General features: G+C 46.5%; 1 protein-coding gene across 15 annotated transcripts in view; it reads right to left on the reverse strand.

The window, feature by feature from the left end:
- Positions 3,383 to 19,495, reverse strand: part of DNAH3 (dynein axonemal heavy chain 3) — a 226,349-nt gene continuing 210,236 nt past the window's right edge. For 14 of the 15 annotated variants that reach the window (XM_017023432.2, NM_017539.2, XM_047434349.1 and 11 more), the window contains 6 exons: positions 18,755 to 18,909; positions 14,768 to 14,935; positions 11,673 to 11,815; positions 6,921 to 7,125; positions 5,620 to 5,757; positions 3,383 to 3,779 (listed from right to left, as the gene is read on the reverse strand). In XM_017023432.2, coding sequence (XP_016878921.1) covers positions 3,426 to 3,779; positions 5,620 to 5,757; positions 6,921 to 7,125; positions 11,673 to 11,815; positions 14,768 to 14,935; positions 18,755 to 18,909 — 1,163 coding nt within the window. In that variant the 3' untranslated portion in view covers positions 3,383 to 3,425. Of the gene's footprint in view, positions 3,780 to 5,619; positions 5,758 to 6,920; positions 7,126 to 11,672; positions 11,816 to 14,767; positions 14,936 to 18,754; positions 18,910 to 19,495 lie in introns of those variants that run through there. The other variant, XM_011545885.4, reaches the window with a different exon arrangement.

A 19,495-nucleotide genomic window follows, 5' to 3' on the forward strand; every position in this document is an offset into this window, starting at 1 on the left:
AAATCCCCATCTTGAGTCTCTCAAAGGCAGAACCCACCTTCCCTACATCCCCACCTTCAATGTAATTATCTTCCAACACTGATAAGGACTGAACCTAACTGCTTACCCAAGAGCTAGATTTTTTTTTTTTTTTTGAGACAGAGTTTCACTGTTGTCACCCAGGCTGGAGTGCAGTGGCACAATCTTGGCTCACTGCAACCTCCACCTCCCAGGTTCAAGCAATTCTCGTGCCTCAGCCTCCTGAGTAGCTGGGATTACAGGCGCCCGCCACCACACCCAGCTAATTTTTGTATTTTTAGTAGAGACGACGTTTCACCATGTTGGCCAGGCTAGTCTTGAACTCCTGACCTCAGGTGATCCGCCTGCCTCAGCTTCTCAAAGTGCTGGGATTACAGGAGTGAGCCACCGCACCCGGCCCCCAAGAGCTAGATTTTTAAAGAACAAGGACTAGCTTGGTGACAAGGTTTGTCTGATGTCATCTGCTGAGCTATTTATAGGCAAGGCCTGCAGCTTCTCACCGAGCTGATCTCTGGCCATCTCTTCCCCAGGACTCCAGCCTCTAACTCACCATGATTTCTGAATAGCATATTGCTCTTTCACAGGAGGAGACATTAACTACCACATTGGCCCGAATAGAAAATGACCTCAAATTTCAAGCAGTCTTTCTCTTCAAAGTAGAGAACATTTTTTAAATTACAAAAATTTAATCCATCATATGAAAACAGTCTGTCCCTTGACCCCTGAGGAATGAGACCAGTCCCTGCCTCCCTCAGCTTTTTGTTGCTGAAGCTGTGGTTGGAGAACTATAATTAAAATTCAGTTGTTCTCTTAGCAACCCCCTCACTGACAGCTCCTTTACAGCTTGCGTTGTGATTTACCTACCAGTCCAAGAATCAGGGATTTGAGATCCTGACCATCCTTCTATCCAAAATGACTAACAATCTTATTTGGAACAATAGGATAGTTCCAGCTATCTGTTCATTCTGATTTTTCCCCCATTGGAGAACATTTATATTTCTTTCTTGAAAAAATAGCTTTTGACCGGGTGCAGTGGCTCATGCCTGTAATCCCAGCACTTTGGGAGGCCAAGATGGGTGGATCACTTGAGGTCAGGAGTTTGAGACCACCCTGGCCAACATGGTGAAACCCTGTCTCTACTAAAAATATAAAAAAATTAGCCAGGCATGGTGGCAGGCACCTGTAATCCCAGCTACATGGGAGGCTGAGGCAGGAGAATTGCCTGAACCTGGGAGGCGAAGGTTGCAGTGAGCCAAAATTGTGCCACTGCACTCCAGCCTAGGTGAGAGAGCAAGACTGTCTCAACAACAACAAAAAAGAAATCAAAGACCCTGATTCAAAACATTTCTTCTAGTGAAGAGGCAGAGAAGCCAAGGCCAGACACATGAAAACCCCCAAACAGTCTCATGTCTTTGCTCAACTACGAAGTGACCAAGACAGGGCCCTGAAATAAGCCACTTAGTGCCACAAGACTACATGAGAGAGTTAGTGAAGAAGTAATGCATCAAGAATGTGATTTTTATCTCCCTCAAGAGTCTCTTCCAGCTGGCCCTGGGGAGAAACAAGTGATTGAAATTTCTTGGACATAGTTGTGTAGTTGGAGCTACACATCTCTTCTAAGATTCTACATCAAAACAGAGCCAAGTCCTTGGCAGGGAGGCAGCGTGTGGCGGTGAAAAATGCATGGGTTCAAGAGCCAGACCAGCACAAACCAGGCTTTGCAGTGTGAAAAAGCTGAGCGATTTTAGGGACGATAATCTCTCTGAACCTCCAAGGGAGAGGACAGGCCTTCCCACCACAGAGGATCAAGTGAGAAATCTAAAGGCCTGGGCACAAAGCATGGCATATAGTAGGCATGCAATAAAGATTGCTTCTCTCACCTCCCCTTTCCTCGGGAAATTTCCACCCATCTGTGCAGGCTAGTAGAGAAACAATTGCGTCCCAGTTCTATCACTGACTAGCTGTGGAACTTTGGGCTAGTTTTCTAAATCTCTGCATTTTCCTCTGTAAAGTGGAGATAATGATAACACCTCCCATCTAAGATTGTTGTGAAAAGTGCATTTTATTTTTTGCCCTTAAATACCAAAAAGAGTCCATTTTAAATGTATCAAGGGGCTTAGCAAATAAAAGTGGCCCAAACCTCTGTCAACCTTTGAGAGGCCTTGGTGGTCTCCCTTATGGATAGACTAGGAAAGAAGTGATTGAAATTCAATGACAGTTACAGCAAAATAAAAAGAAAAAAAATAAGACTGGGTGCGATGGCTCACGACTGTAATCCCAGCACTTTGGGAGGCCAAGGCGGGCGGATCACTTGAGGCCAGGAATTCGAGACCAGCCTGGCCAACATAGCAAAACCCCGTCTCTACTAAAAGTGCAAAAATTAGCCAGGCATGGTGGTGCACACCTGTAATCCCAGCTATTTGGGAGGCTGAGGCACGAGAATCACTTGAACCTGGGAGGCGGAGGTTGCAGTGAGCCGAGATTGTGCCACTGCACTCCAGCCAGGGCAGCAGAGCAAGAAACTGTCTCAGAAGAAGAAAATCACCATAAGGGAGCTTAGCCAACTGACCAAGAGTCTGTGTTGAAGAGTCCCACTGCCTGTATTCAGATACTACTTGAGTAGCTATCTGATTTGGGGGAGATTACTTATCTTCTCTGTATCATGGTTTCTGCAGCCATAAAATGAGGATAATAATAATAATGTACTTTATAGAGTTGCTAGGAAATACCTGGCTCATAGCAATTGCTTTATTAATATAATTGTCATCAACATCATCACCACCACCATCATCAAGAATGAAATGCCTTCGTTCTCACTCATAGGTCGGAATTGAACAATGAGAACACTTGGACACAGGAAAGGGAACATCACACACCTGGGCCTGTCGTGGGGTGGGGAGGGTGGGGGGGGAAGGATAGCATTAGGAGATACACCTAATGTAAATGATGAGTTAATGGGTGCAGCACACCAACATGGCACATGTATACGTATGTAACAAACCTGCACGTTGTGCACATGTACCCTAGAACTTAAAGTATAATAATAAAATAAAATAAAAAGAATGAAATGCCTTTTGGCCAGGCGCGGTGGCGCCTGTAATCCCAGCACTTTGGGAGGCCAAAGGGGGAGTGGATTGCCTGAGCTCAGGAGTTCGAGACCAGCCTGGGCGACATGGCAAAAGCCCTGTCTCTACTGAAAATACAAAAAAATAGCCTGGCATTGTGGTGTGTGCCTGTAATCCCAGCTACTCAGGAGGCTGAGGCACGAGAATCACTTGAACCTGGAAGGCGGAAGGTGCAGTGAGCTGATTTCATGCCACTGCACTCCAGCCTGGGTGACAGAGCAAGACTGTCTCAAAACAAAAAGAATGAAATGCTTTTTATTTTCTGTCTTGAGACAAATGCCATCAGTTATCCAGCTGGCACAGTGAGGCCACCCCTCGGTTTATCCAGTGCTTCTGGGGCATGTCTGTTGGAAGCTCAATGGAGAGGACATAGTTGGTAGAGTGGCCTGTGGTGGAGAGGGTTCCTCTGCGGGCACTTGTTTTGTAGACTGGACACACATAGATGTCCTGATGCAGAAACATTGCGCTCTCCCCAGGTTTCAGCCAAATGATGGGCAGTGGGTCATAGAGGATTTTGGGGAGAGATTCCCCAATCTGCATCGTTTTCCTGTCCCAACGGGCACCTTCTAAGAAGAGCCCTTTGATGTAGGCCCCATCTTCGGGGTTATTCTCCATCACTGTTTCTTGTGGGGTTACCTGGAAGAATAAAAAGCTATGAGCTCCATTGCCTGCCATTTTCCTACATGGGCAGCTTTAAGAGCCTGGAATCTTCTGATACTCAAAGTGCAACCTGGTTGCAATATCTACCTCTCCCAGGATCCAGGGACAATGGGGCTTCTGTGATAATATTCCTGCCCACCATACATGGGCCAGGCCTGACTCCTGGTCAGTATGCTGCCCTTCCCAATGGTGGGCTAGAGAATGCACTCAAGTAGGAGTCACATTATTCTAACACATTACCTCTAACTAGCTTAGTGATTGCACAATCCCTTCCCTTTCTGGATCTGGATTTATAAAGTGAGGGGTTAGATTCAGATACAGAGACAGACTGGATAAACAGTTCTGGAGATGAGTGTGGGGAGAATAAAGCCTTGATTTCTAGTTTTTGTGGTATAAAGACTTCCACCATGGTCAATTTCAGCCTACCAACTATTTAACAACCAGCTCACAAAATTCCTGAAAATGTAACAGTTGGCCCTGGTGAGCTGATATGAGTGAGCTCCAGCACACCACTGCTTAGATTCAGAGGTGGTAAACTCAAATTCCTTTAGGTAATTGCAGAAAATGGACAAAGCATAGGAGAATAGGGAGGGGTGGGGATTATGGTGAACCAGAGAGCACAAACTCCATTTAAAATCATTCAAATTATACTTTAAAAAATTTTTATGGTGAATGGAATTTTTTCCCATTTCTAATTCTAAGTATATATTGGAAGAATAGGAAAAGGCTATTGATTTTTATAAATTTAACCAATATCCAGTGACCTTGTGAATTCTTCTACAGATGCTCCTCAACTTACAATGGGGTTATGTCCTGATAAACCCATCATAAGTTGAACATATTGTAAGCCAAAACTGCATTTAATATACCTAACCTACAACAAATATCATAGCTTAGCCTAGCCTCCCTTAAATGTGCTTAGAACACTTACATTAGCCTATAGTGGGCAGGAATCATCTAACACAAAGTCTGTTTTATAGTAAAGTGTTGAGTATCTTATGTAATTTATCAAATACTATACTAAAAGTGAAAAATGGAATGGGTGTATGGGTACTCAAGGTGTGGTTTCTCCTGAATGTGTACTGATTTCACATCATGAAGTCAAAAAATTGTAAGTTGAACCATTGCAAGTAAAGGACTCTATGTTTTTAATCACTTCGGATTTCTAGGTATACAATCATTTCAACATCAAGAAAGATGGTTTTATCTTTTTTTCAATGTTTATCCTAGTCATTTTTTTTCTTGTTGTATTTATTTTGGCTTAACATTGTCTTCAAAGGCTAATCAAGTTAAGTTCATTCATAAACTGATTTAAGACATAGGGCAACCAGTTTGTGACCTCTGGACTAGATGATTTCAAAGGATCTTTCCGTATAATTTAAAATTCTACAATGCTCTGTAACAGTCAATCGTAGCCATTCTACTCTCTATATATGACAGGCTGATGCTTGACTGTTGGCCATGCTTTTAACTTTACTCCAAGCAAAGGACTACCTAAGGGCATTAACATTCTTGTAAATGAAGAGTCCACCACATTGAACAAACAGAGTGGGAGAGTGCCTTCATTTTTCTTGGTGTTCTGACGGAATCTGGAAAGATTCCCTTTTTGTATACACAGAGACAAAGCATTGGGAATCCTCTAATTATTTTAGGAGTAGCTTTTAGAGCTACTGTAAATTATGCTAAATGCTTCATATGTACCATTTCAGAAGCATTTGGGTCTTAACACATCCACATTTTTTGACTCATAAGGAAATTGGCAACATTGCTTTCTCTGGTCAGCCCCTTGAGTGAGCCTAACCCAAAGCACCCCTACCTCAAACTCAAATCCAATGTGGTCAATGGGGATGGTATATTTCCGGGCATAATTTTGAGAGACGCCAGTCAAAAAAGACTGTGTGAAGTAGAATCCAGAGATCCAAAATACCACAGGGGGCCCCTTGTCAATCCATTCCTGGAGAGCCACAGAAATCAAGATTCAAAATCAACAACACATCAAAGATAGTTCAAATGCAAGTAATGTAACGAGTACCATATAAAATATGTTTTTTCATATTTTTCTTGAAACAGCCCTCTTGGTTTAGCTTCTATCTTCCCACTTTTGAAATAAGGGTACAAAGAAATATATTTACACTTTAAGAAACGCCTAGGTACTACAAAAATTAGCCAGGCGTGGTGGTGGGCACCTGCAGTCCCAGCTGCTTGGGAAGCTGAGGCAGGAGAATCGCTTGAACCCAGGAGGCAGAGGTTGCAGTGAGCCAAGATCATGCCATTGCACTCCAGCCTGAGTGACAAGAGTGAAACTTCATCTCAAAAAAAAAAAAAAAAGCCCAGGTGCAAGCTGATATCAGGGATACAACAGAGAGTGGTGGGGACTGTAGCAGTGGAGAATATGTACCTTGTCTAAACTGAGCAGCTGCCACTCATCTCCAGCAATAGTCGCCATGCCATGCGAGAACGCAGGTGCATTGTTTCAGGTCTTCTATTTTTTGCAGTACAAACATCGGATTTTTATATGTAAAAAATCAATGTTTACATGCTGGCTCAAAAATGTTTAAATTACCAGGTAGCCAAACCAAACATAATTATTGTCCAAATCTATCTCATGAGCCACCAGTTTGTGACATTTTTTTTCTTTTTAGACGGAGTCTTGCTCTGTCGCCCAGGCTGGAGTGAAATGGCGTGATCTCGGCTCACTGCAACCTCTGCCTCCCAGGTTCAAGCCATTTTCCTGCCTCAGCCTCCCAGGTAGCTGAGACTACAGGCATAAGCCACTATGCCCTGCTGATTTTTTTGGTATTTTTAGTAGAGACGGGGTTTCACCATGCTGGCCAGGCTGGTGTCGAACTCCTGACCTCAAGTGATCCGCCTGCCTCGGCCTCCCAGAGTGCTGGCAATACAGATGTGAGCCACTGCGCCCGGCCGGCTATAATCTTTTCCAGGACTTTCAAGTCTCCCTCCTGCTTCTAACTCCAGGAAGACTGTTTCCAGAGGCTCAATCCAGGATGTTCTGTGGCTGCCTGCCCTCCTCCCCCTGCCTCTAGTCTGCCATTTCAGAATGTCCTCTCCACCTAAGCAAGCATGCCAGGTTCCCGGTTACCCCTGACTCCCAGGTACCTGGAAGAAGGTCAGGCGGGCCAGCAGGTCAGCCACGTAGCCCCCCAGAGGCTTCAGTGATGGGTAAGACTTGGCTGCCCACATGGCTGGCACTTTACCCACAAGCATGCTGTTAAAGACTTCCTCTAGCTCCGAGGACATCAGGACCTGTCCTTTGATGGCTCGGCCAAGATTGATGAGGCTCCTCCGAACCACTTTGGTCAGCCTGCAAGAACAGAGGAGCTGGCTGAGCTGGGCTCTCCGGTGGCCACATTCTACCCAAGTCCACTGACTGCTGTCCCCTTTAAAATGTCAGTTAATTAATGCACAGTCATTAAATGAGGAAAAATTAAATCACCCGTTACCTTGCTACCTAAAGATAACGTTGATGTATATCTTTCCAGATTTTTCTCTATGTGAACACAAATTATTTTTAATGAGATCATACTATATTATCTTTCCGTAATCTGTTTTTCTTTCTTAGCATATAGGAAACATCTTTCCAATTCAATAGAGACCTAAATTGTCCTTTTTTTCTTTTTTTTAGAGATGGGGTTTCACTCTGTCATTCAGGCTGGAGTAAGTAGTGAGATCAGAGCTCACTGCAGCCTCAAACTCCTGGGCTCAAGTGATCCTCCTGCCTCAGCCTCTGGAGTAGCTGGGACTACAGGTGTGCATCACCATGCCTGTCCTTTGTAACGACTGCAAAATGTTCCATTTTGTTTAACTATTCCTCTATTGTTGACGTGTTATTTCTAGATTGTTGTCACTATCAACAACATTGCTAGCAAAATTCATCCATCTCAATCTTTTTGCAAATTTTAAATTATTATTAAAAATATTTCTAGGTCAAAGAGCACGCACAGTTTTAAGGCTTTCAATTCATATTGTCAAAGTTGTTCTTTTTTTTTTTTTTTTTTTGAGACAGAGTCTTGCCCTGTCACCCAGGGAAGTGCAGTGGTGGAGTCATGGCTCACTGCAGCCTCGATCTCCCAGGCTCAAGGAATCCTCCCACCTCAGTCTCCTGAGTAGCTGGGACTACAGGCACATGCCACTATGCCCACCTGATTTTTTTTTAAGTAGAGACAAGGTCTCCCTATGTTGCCCAGGCTGGTCTCAAACTCCTAAACTCAAGTAATCCTCCCACCTCAGCCTCCCAAAGTGCTGGGATTACAGATGAGCTACCACGCCTGGCCAAAGGTCCTTTTTTATCGACTATAAGGTGCACGCCTGAGAAAAGGCAACTGAAGGGCAGCCTGGGAGATGTCAAATTCACCTGCCTCTCCCTCTGACCTTTATGTTACGAGGCCCAGCCAAGCCCGGAGGTAATTCACCTGAGGAGACCAAAGAATCTGCCACTACAAAGAGCTTTTCATCTCCAAAGCTTTATGGAATCTCAACTGAATGGACATGAGAATGATCACATGCAGGAAGAGGATTTCTGGATGTGTAACCACTAAACCATTGTATCAAGAGGAATGTAGCTGGGTGTGGGGGCTCACGCCTGTAATCCCAGCACTTTGAAAGGCAGAGGTGGGTGGATCACTTGAGGTCAGGAGTTTGAGACCAGCCTGGCCAACATGGTTAAACCCCGTCTGTACTAAAAATACAAAATTAGCTGAGCATGCGCGCCTGTAATTCCAGCTACTCAGGAGGCTGAGGCAGGAGAATCGCTTGAACCCAGAAGGTGGAGGTTGCAGTGAGCCGAGCTAAGATCACGCCATTGCACTCCAGCCTGGGCGACAAGAGTGAAACTCTGTCTCAATTAAAAAAAAAAAAAGGAATGTAAAATTCAGACATGTGTTTGCTAAGCAGTCAAGGGTAAAAGCTGCCATCTGAGGGATTACACCACAGACCTCTATTATACCTAAAGACCTACTTGCAAAGATTCTCTTTCTATTCTTGCAACTATGAGCTCTGCTAGTTTTAAGGTTTTAGTACCCAAGGAAAGAACACTTGCCCAGAAGACACAGTCACAGTTCCCCTGAAGCTGAACTGTCGCTGAATCATTCTGGGCTTCCTATATCACTGGGTGAAAAGGCAAAAAAAAAAAAAAAAAAGGGAAAGAAAAAAAATAGTGGGGAGGAACGTTAGAGTACTGCTTGAGATGATTAATCCTGACCATCATTGGAAAATAAGATTGCTTTCCCTGTTCTTTTTTTCTTTTGAGACAGGGTCTCATTCTCTTGCCCAGGCTGAAGTGCAGTGGCACAATCTTGGCTCACTGCAACCTCCACTTCCCAGGCCCAAGCAATCCTCCCTCCTCAGTCTCCTGAGTAGCTGGTTCTACAATGCCCAGATAATTTTATGTATTTTTGGTAGAGATGGGGTTTTGCCATGTTGCCCAAGCTGATCTCCAACTCCTGAGCAATCTGCCTGCCTCAGCCTCCTAAAGTGCTGGGATTACAGTGCTGGGTGGAGTGAGCCACGGCACCTGGCTTGCTGTCCTTTATAGAATGCCCAGTGGTGAAGGCCAGTGAAAGCCCCTGCAACCACCAAGAAAGAGCTCCAGTGGCCTTAGAGGAGAATGACAGCAGAGGAGGGAAGCCATTAGTTTTGGTGTCCAGTTGGACAGTCCAGGACTACAGTCCATCATGCCAAGGTGTCTCACAACAGAGGTGGCCTCGTCCTAGGCTCACACCCCATACCTTGCTTGGTCCCTGCTACGGCCAACTGCCTGTTGACTCTAAAGAGTAACCCTAGGCCGGGCACAGTGGCTTACACCTGTAATCCCAGCACTTTGGGAGGCCAAGGTGGGCGGATCACCTGAGGTCAGGAGTTCGAGACCAGCCTGGCCAACATGGCGAAATCCTGTCTCTACTAAAAGTACAGAAATTAGCTGGGCGTGGTGGCAGGCACCTGTAATCCCAGCTACTTGGGAGGCTGAGGCAGGAGAATCTCTTGAACCTGGGAGGTGGAGGTCGCAGTGAGCCGAGATCGCGCCACTGCACTCCAGTCTGGGTGACAAGAGTGAGACTCTGTCTCAAAAAAAAAAAAAAAAAAGTAACTTTAAAATTCAGGAAGCCTAACAACTCTCAAATAACACTCCTCCAGTCCCCTGGTCCTCTGGAATCAGGGCTGTCCTTAAAATGAAGCAGTGACCCAATGACACAGAATAGAGGCAGTAACACATGCAGTGTCTGGAGCAGCAAGACCTTGGTCTTGGAAGCAGAAGTGATAAGTTTTAGCCCACTTGGCTCTGAGTCACTTGAGACCTACATCAAATCACAGTCATCTCTGGACCTCAGTTTCCTCATCTGGCCTAGATGGTCTTTGATAACCCTTTCAGTTTTGACTATTCAAAAATCAAATCCAGGTGATCCCACTGGGCTCCATGCTGTAGTAACTGGAGAAGAGGACTAGAATACAAGGCCAGAGATCCTTGCCCCATGGCCAGCCTATAATACCCCTAACTGTGTGGTAGAGGCACTAGGATGAACGTCTCCCACCCCTTTCTAGATTTACCCAGATTTCACATATTGGATAAGTACACGGGCTCTGGAATCAGACTTAGTTCTGGGTTTAAACTGAGTTTTCCCGTTGAATGATTGAATAACTGAGCAACCTTGGGCAAGTCTTAACCCTTCTGAATCTCAGAGTTTTTTTTTATTTTCTTTAAGAGATGGGGTCTTGCCATATTGCCCAGGCTGGTCTTAAACCCCTGGGTTCAAGCAATCCTCCCGGCTTGCCTCCCAAAGTGCTGGGATTGTAGGCGTGAGTGATCATGCTCAGCCTCAGTTTTCTTACTTGTAAAATGCTGGTAGCAGGATTAGTAACTGGACGTATTTCAAAAGACTATTGTGTAATTTTTTTTTAAGGGATAGGGTCTTTCTCTGTCACCCAGGCTGGAGTGCAGTGGCAAGATCATAGCTCACTGCCGCCTCGAGCTCCTGGCCTCCAAGAGATCCTCCCACTTCACCCTCCCAAGTAGCTGGGACTGTAGACGTGCACCACCATGCCTGCCTTTTTTTTTTTTTTCTTTTTTGGAGAGATGGGGTCTTGCTTTGTTGCCCAGGCTGGTCTTGGACTCCTGGCCTCAGGTGATCCTCCCTACTCTGCTTCTCAAAGTGCTGGAATTACAGGCGTTAGCCACTGTGCCCAGCCCTATTACAGACTTTGAATGAGACCCATGCATAGTGCTTAGAACCGTATCTGTCCCTAAAGGCTCAATACAAATGGCTCTAGGCCAGGTGCAGTGGCTCCCACCTGTAATCCCACCACTTTACGAGGCCAAGGCTGGAGGCCTGCTTGAGGCCAGGAGTTCAAGACCAGCCTGGCCAACATGTCAAAACTCCATCTCTATAAAAAATAAAAAATAAAAAAATTAGCCAGCATGGTGGCCTGTGTCTGTAGACTCAGCTACTCAGGAGGCTGAGGTGGGAGGACTGCTTGAGCCCAGGAGTTCGAGGCTGCAATGAGTCATGATCACACCACTGCACTCCAACTTGAGCGACAGAGAGAGACCTCAACTCAGGAAAGAAAAATGAAAGTGGCTCTAATGACTACTTTTACTATTAGCCTGTGCTTGATACTGGTTTTAGCCTAACTTTATAGATGTCACATGAATGAATGGGAATGAATGAATAGAAGGAATGATTCAACCCAGGGTCAGCATGTGCTGGGGATGGTCCTATTCACAGCCCCTATTCACACCCCTAATACGGGTGGGGCAAACCACTTCCTCTGCATAGCAACCCCTTCTCAGCTACTGCCTGTTAGATCCTACTCCTCACGTTCCAACTCCCAGGATTCAAGCTACATCATCTGGCCCACCTGTTGAATCTGATGAGCTCCTGCCTTAGGACGGTATTCATGGATTCTTCATAGACCACGGGGTACAACTTCATGACCTCTTCCAGGTCAAAGTCTCTGGGAAGCTTGGAGAGAATGTCTTGTGCCAACTCCTCAACCACTTCCTTAAAATGCAGGCAGAAGAGAGGTGAGTGAGAAGCAAGCCCTACAGGCTGTGGCTTTGGATAAACTTTAAGTACTGAGCATCTGACTTTTCAAATGTATTCTGTGGGACTTTCCTGAGAACTCTCCAACAGAAGCCATTTCTGCCTCCAGTGGGGAAAGGAGTCCCTCATCACCCCACCAGCCTTGGGGAGGGCATCGCCTCTTGGTCCAGAAGAGTAGAGTCCTGTCCTTGGCAGAGCACGGTGGCTCACGCCTGTAATCCCAGCACTTTAGGAGGCCGAAGTGGGTGGATCGCTTGAGTCCAGGAGTTTGAGACCAGCCTGGGAAACATAGCGAAACCCAGTTTCTACAAAAAATACAAAAATTAGCCATTAGCCATGCATGATGCTGCATGCCTATGGTCCCAGCTATTTGGGAGGCTGAAGCAGGAGAATCACTTGAACCCAGGAGGCGGATGTTGCAGTGAGCTGAGATCTGGCCGCTGCACTCCAGCCTGGGTGACAGAGGAACACCTGTCTAAAAGTTAAAAAAAAAAAAAAAAAGAGTCGTGTCCTGACACCTCAGGCAAGAGCCGAAGGGCCAGGAAGGGAACTCTTGCTCAGCCAGGTAGCTTCAGGGCAGCACTAAGCCTCTGTCTTCAATGTCACACCCAGGTGAGAATCTCCCACAGCCTCTGACCCCTGAGGATTAGCTCCTGGTGCCATGGGGCCCTTTCTCAGTGCCCGTGACACCTGGGAAAGCAGCAGGCCATTCTTCAGCATTGGAGCAAGAAAAGCACAGAACCCTCAGCTTAGCCAAGTAGGGAGGGGACAGGCCTCGAGGCTCAAGGAGGAACAAGACCTGAGTGTGGGAGAGACAGACACCCTGTGGTCCTGTGGATGTGGGAGGCTGGGATGTATAATTCTTTCCCTCTTCCCACTGTGAGGGGAATTTCCACTCCTACATCGGGATACACCAACCAGGCTGGTTTACCTTCATACCAGTGATACTTAATGGCACTAGGAACCAAATCATGAAAGCAAATTAGCAAATTCTACAGTTGGGAGGGGTTAAACAGGAGGTAGCTTGGAAGGTGGAGAAGGGAAGGGATGGGAGAGGAAGCGGGTGGAGTCAGGAGACGGTGGCTCTGGTTCTGGCTCCGTCCTTGATTTTATGAAAGCCTGGAAGCCGGTCACTTTCTCTCTCAGGATTTGTTTCTCTCTTCATTTGTAGACTTAGGAGGGTGGCCTGGGTCAGGTCATCACAAAGAGTGCACTGGGACTACTAGAGGTACCCAGGATTTTAGGTGTTTCCAGGACACAGAAAAATCATGTTGAGTCACATGGTGAGAAAGTTACTCTTTCAGGTTTTGGGTTTTTTTTCATTGTTGTTGTTACTGTTTTGAGATAGTGTCTCACTCTGTCGTCCAGGTGGGAGTGCAAAGGCATGATCACAGCCTCGTGATCACAGCCTCACTGCAGCCTCGACCTCCTGGGTTCAAGTGATCCTCCTGCCGCAGCCCCCTTAGTAGCTGGGACTACAGGCACGCACCACCACACCCAGTTAACTTTTTTTAAGACAGGGTCTCACTCTGTCGCCTAGGCTGGAGTGCAGTGGCATGATCTCAGCTCACTGCAGCCTCAACAGCCCAGAATCAAGCGATCCTCCCACCTCAGCTTCCTGAGTAGCTGGGATTACAGGTGCACGCCACTGAGCTCAGCTATTTTTTTTTTTTGTATAGACGGCGTTTTGCTATGTTGCTCAGGCTGGTCTCCAACTCCTTGGCTCAAGCAATCCACCCACCTTGGCCTCCCAAAGTGCTAGGGTTATAGGCATGAGCCATGGCACCCAGCCCTCGGTTAACTTAAAAAAAATTTTTTTGTAGTGATGCGGTCTCCTTATGTTGCCCAGGCTGGCCTCGAACTCCTGGCCTCAAGTGCTCCTCCTGCTTCAGCCTCCCAAAGTGCTGGGACTACAGGTGCGATTCACTGCACCTGGCCTCTTTTCCAGTTCTGACCATCTTTCTCTTTTCATTCCTCTCAAAAAGACAGTTTCGGGTCAGTGCCAATTCTTTGACACTCACACATCTTTCTCCTTTTAACAAGAAGCCAGCAAAGCCTCAGCTCAGGGGCTTTGGCCAGCAACATCATCTGGGAAGAACTTAACAACTGTTAACGCTGGGAGCAGTGGCTCACGCCTGTAATCCCAGCACTTTTGGAAGCCAACGCAAGCAGATTGCTTGAGCCCAGGAGTTTGAGACGATCCTGGACAATATGATGAAACACTGTCTCTACAGAAAATACAAAAAAATTTAGCTGGGCATGGTGGCATGTGCTTGTAGTCCCAGCTACTCGGGAGGCTGAGGCAGGAGAATTGCTTGAGCCTGGGAGGCGGAGGTTGCAGTGAGACAAGATCACGCCACTGCGCTCCAGCCTAGGTAACCGAGCCAAACCGTGTCTCAAAAAAAAAAAAGAAAAGAAAAGAAAAACAGCAACAACAACAAACAGAAACCAAAAAACACCAACTGTTCACTGTTCAGCTTTCATTTTCTTTTTGTGCGTATCATGACTTTATGGAAATGATACTGGGTTTCCACTTATGGTTCTGATGTGCAATCTTTTAAATTAAAAAAAAAAGAGAGTTAGTTTTAAAACATTATGTAGAAAAAAAAGCAAAAGAAAAAAAAAAAGAATAAAACCCATTATGTAAATGGAGTATAGGTGATAGGTGGATATAGCAGAAAACATGAAGGTTATACAGGAATAGCTGACATTTTGGAAACACTGGTTCCCTTGCAGCTCTGGATATAAGGACTCCCGGCAGTAAGGCCACAGTGCTCCTTCCCTGCCCTTGGCCAGGAGGCTGCCAGGCCCCCACTCTCTGCCTCTTGGTCACCCTCCAATCCTGTGTGCCCACTGGATGAAGAACTGCCTGGGAAATAGGATTAAGCCCCCTTTCCCGAGCCCAGTTACCTGAGGGGACTTGCCACTTCCTCCTGACTGTCTAGGGAGGGTCAGCAGGACCCCCTCAAACAGCTGGTTGGTTTCCTGGTTGTCTTTGGTGATGTCTGCGTTCTCATGGAGGCCGAACACTTCTGGGTGGGCTGTGATGGGGAGATTCCTGAGATAGTCGATATAGGACTGGAAGGGAAATCTTCAGTTGAAATCAACGAGGGACCCCAGAATCCCACAGATGACTCCAGGCTTAGCAGAACCCAATCAGAACAGGAATCATACTGTATCAGTAGCACAGGACACACACACACACACACACACACACGCTGGGAGAACACAACCCTAGCCCTCCCTCATACAGTTTTCTGGGGAGTGGGCATGAAAGCAGATGAGACTGAATTACCTCTCGCCCACCCTGGCTTCCTCTCTGCTCCCCCAGTGGGCCTGGCTTTGGACCCAAACAGAACTGAGTTTGGATCCTAGCTCCATCCCAAACTGTCAGAGGCATTCGAACCAGAGCAACTCCATCTTGTATAGGGACTGGGTAAAATAAGGCTGACACCTAGTGGGCTGCATTCTTAGGAGGTGAGGGCATTCTAAGTCACAGGATGAGACAGGAGTCAGCACAAGATACAGGTCACAAAGACCTTGCTGATAAAACAGGTTGTGGTAAAGAAGCCAGTCAAATATCCCCAAACCAAGATGGCCACGGAAGTGACCTCTAGTTGACCTCACTGCTCATTACACACTAATTATAATGCATTAGCATGCTATGAGACACTCCCACCAGCGCCATGACTGTTTACAGATGTCATGACAATGTCAGGAAGTTGCCCTATATAGTCTAGAAAGGGGAGGAACCCTCACTTCTTGGAATTGCCCACCCCTTTCCCGGAAAACTCATGAATAATCCACCCCTTGTTTAGCATATAATCAAGAAATAACTGTAAGTATAATCAGTTGAGCAGCAACCCATGTCATTGCTCTGTCTATGAAGTAGCCATTCTTTATTCCTTTACTTTTTTTTTTTTTTGAGACAGATTCTTGCTGTCTGCCAGGCTGGAGTGCAGTGGTACTATCTTGGCTCACTGTAACCTCCGCCTCCTGGATTCAAGCAATTCTACTGCCTCAGCCTCCCTAGTAGCTGGGATTATAGGCATATGCCATCATGCCCGGCTAATTTTTTGTATTTTTAGTAGCGACGGGGTTTCACTGCGTTAGCCAGGATGGTCTCGATCTCTTAACCTTGTGATCCGACCTCTTTGGCCTCCCAAGGTACTGGGATTACAGGCATGAGCCACTGCGCCCGGCCTCCTTTACTTTCTTAATTAACTTGCTTTTGTTGTACTCTATAGACTCGCCCCGAATTCTTTCTTGTGCAAGATCCAAGAACCATCCCTTTGGGTCTGGATCTGGACCCCCTTCCGATAATAAAACTATGTACCCTTGAACTTGTCATCTGAAACCCCAGTTTCCTTATCTGTAAATAGAAAAACAAGTGTAGTTATGAAGTATAAACCAAAAGTAAAATCTTAAGACCCTCCAACCATCTGAATGGACTTCCTCCTTGTCCGGGGCACTCTAAAATTTAACCTGAAAGCCTGGTTCAGGCCATGACGGGAAGTGGGGGTCAGACATGCCTCATTATGCCCCTCCAGCATTACCATCAACACAGACCTTAAGTCTGATAAGAAACATTTACAATCTATTCTCTCTGAAGCCTGCTGCCTGGAGGTTTCATCTGCATGATAAAACTTGGGTCTGCACAACCTCTTATCATAACCCAGGCATTCCTTTCTATTGATAACTCTTTCAACCAATTGCCAATCAGAAAACGTTTAAATCTACCTATAACCTGCTGGCCTCCACTTCGAGTTTTCCCGTCTTTCTGGACTGAACCAATGGATATCCTAAATGTATTTGACTGATGCCTCGCGTCTCCCTAAAATGTATAAAATCAAGCCCTGACCACCTGGGGCACATGCTCTCAGGATCTCCTGAGGGCTGTGTCACGGGCCATGGTCACTCATATTTGGCTCAGTATAAATCTCTTCAAATATTTTACAGGGTAAGAAAGAGACTCTTTTCATCCACAGAAGGAATCAGGCCTTGGCATGTGACAGGTTGTGGTGTAATATACATATATATCTACTGGTTTTCATCCATGGTTCCTGGCTTCTAACTCCCCTAGCCCTTGTTACAGTCACCTGTTATAATGTTGGGTGTGTTAGGCCTTAGGGGCAGGCCGCAGGAAACAGAATCTCTCTGACCTTCTCTTTCCCTCCTTTTACCTGCCCCCAAGCAAGACTCAAATCTTCCCCTGCCTTTCTGATTGTGAGTCCTTTTTTTTTTTTTTTTTTTTTTTTTGAGACAGGGTCACTCTGTGGCCCAGGCTGGAGTGCAGTGGTGGGACCTTGGTTCACTGCAACCTATGCCTCCTGGGCTCAAGCGATCTTCCCACCTCCGCCTCCTGAGTAGTTGGGACTACAAGTGCATGCCATCACACCCGGCTAATTTTTGTATTTTTAGTAGAGACAGAATTTCACCACATTGGCCAGGCTGGTCTCAAACTCCTGACCCCAAGCCATCCACCAGCCTCAGCCTCCCAAAGTGCTGGGATTACAGGCATGAGCCACTGCACCTGACCTGATTGTGAGTCTTAAGACTCCACCTAGAGAGAGAGGGTGCTGCCCTATACTCTGGGGAATGTCATACAGCTTTCATAAAAACCCAAGAAGACTGGGTGCGGGGAGCTTCTGGATAGCTGACCACGTGGAGGTTCCTGGAGGGTATTTCACCCAGGGAGGGCATGGAAGTTCTCACTCCTTCCGCCATACTTCACCCTATGCATCTCTTCATCTATATCTTTTGTAATATTCCTTTAATAAACCAATAAACCTAAGTATTTCTCTGAGTTCTGTGAGCTGCTCCAGCAAATTAATTGAATTAATTTCAATTAAAGGGGGAGTGGTGAGAACCCCAACGTGAAGCTGGTTGGTCAGTTCTTGAGGCTGGGACTTGTGACTGGTGTCTGGGTTGGGGGAAAGAATTGGGGACTGAGCCCTCAACCCGTGGGATCTGACACTATCACCAGGTAGATGGTATTGGAATTGAATTAGAGGACACCCAGTTGGTGTCCACTGCTTAATGTGTGGGGAAGGGGTAACCTCCACACATTTGGTCACAGAAGTCTTCTTCTGTATTGATGGTGGTGGTGGTTGTGGTGAGACAGTAGTAGAAAAATACAATTTCAGAGTTTTTCTGTTCCACAGGTCATCAATAAAAGTAAGTGGTTTTTTTTGTTTGTTTGTTTGTTTTTTTGAGACAGTTTCACTGTCACTCAGGCTGGAGTGCAGTGGCATGGTCTCAGCTCACCACAACCTCCACCTCCCAGTTCAAGCAATTCCCCTGCCTCAGCCTCCCAAGTAGTTGGGATTACAGGCAGGCGCCACCACACCTGGTTAATTTTTATATTTTTAGAAGAGATGGGGTTTCACCATGTTGGTCAGGCTGGTCTCAAACTCCTGAGCTTAAGTGATCCACCCGCCTCAGCCTCCCAAAGTGCTGAGATTACAGGCGTGAGCCACAGCATCCAACCTGTAAGCTCTTTTCTATCCCTCAGATTGTTTTCATCTTCCTTTTGTCATTCCCTGCCCAGTTTTTCTGTTCCTCCCTTTTTGCCACCTTCTGAATCTTCGTCTTCAAGTAGCAATTTCCATCTTGCTCACTTCCAAGGCTCCATCTTAATCATCGTTCTCTCTCCTTCCTCCACCCAGATGGATCCTATATTTTGAAACACCTTGTCTACCAAATACCGACCCCCTCCTTAAACAGTAGCCATGTCTCTCTTGCAGGCTTTTGGGAATATTGGGAATAGCTTATGGATTCAATTCAGGAAGCCCAAGGTCACCCCTGGGATCCCTGGCTACACTGCAGCCCTGTAGCCATATAGAGATGACGGAGCCCTGTGGGGGAAAGAGGTAGGCCTCCCTGCCCACCCCTTACCTGGTAGGAGCCATGAGGAGGGATGTAGTAAGTGTCTCCAGGAGCGAGGGAGTAATAGTCCTCCTCAATTTCCTTACAGTAGAACATGGACAGAAGTGACAGCAGGAGACGCCGGTCTTTGTCATCAGTCACTCTGCCTCCGTAATTACATTCCCCTGGGGACAACCAACAGAAGGAGAGGTTGAGCCCAGGGAAGGTCATCACGAGCTTGGTGGTTGATGTAAAACACGGCATTCTTCCGGCCAAAGATCTCTGCTGGGACATAGTGATAGGGACAGCAAGCAGGAAAATTCCGGGCAGAAGATGGCGGGTCCCCTGCAAGGGCCCCACCCTCAAGCTGAAAAGCCTGAAACCATGGCCCAAAGTGAGAACTTACATCCCTGTTTTCCCACTTGAATGTTGCCTTTTCCAAAACCACCCATGACCTGCCCCACCCCCACAACCCATGCCCATCAAAACCCCAGGCTCAGCCAGCAGAGAGAGAGAAGCAGCTGGACATCAGAGAGAAGAGGCTTGACTTCAGGGGAACAGCCTTTTCAGCTCCCTTTCCCGCTGAGAGCCACTTTCTTCGGCAATAAAATCCCCCACATTTACCATCTTCCATTCGTTTGTGCGACCCCATTCCTCCTGGACACTGGACAAGAGCTTGGGTGCCATGAGTGCAAGTGCCAAAGTCTGTCACGCTGACCCACCACTGGGCGGTTAATACTTGAGCTGTCTGGACCGCAGAGCTACAAGAGT

The sequence above is a fragment of the Homo sapiens genome, chromosome 16, assembly GCF_000001405.40.
Source record: "Homo sapiens chromosome 16, GRCh38.p14 Primary Assembly".
Classification (NCBI taxonomy): Eukaryota; Metazoa; Chordata; class Mammalia; order Primates; family Hominidae; genus Homo; species Homo sapiens.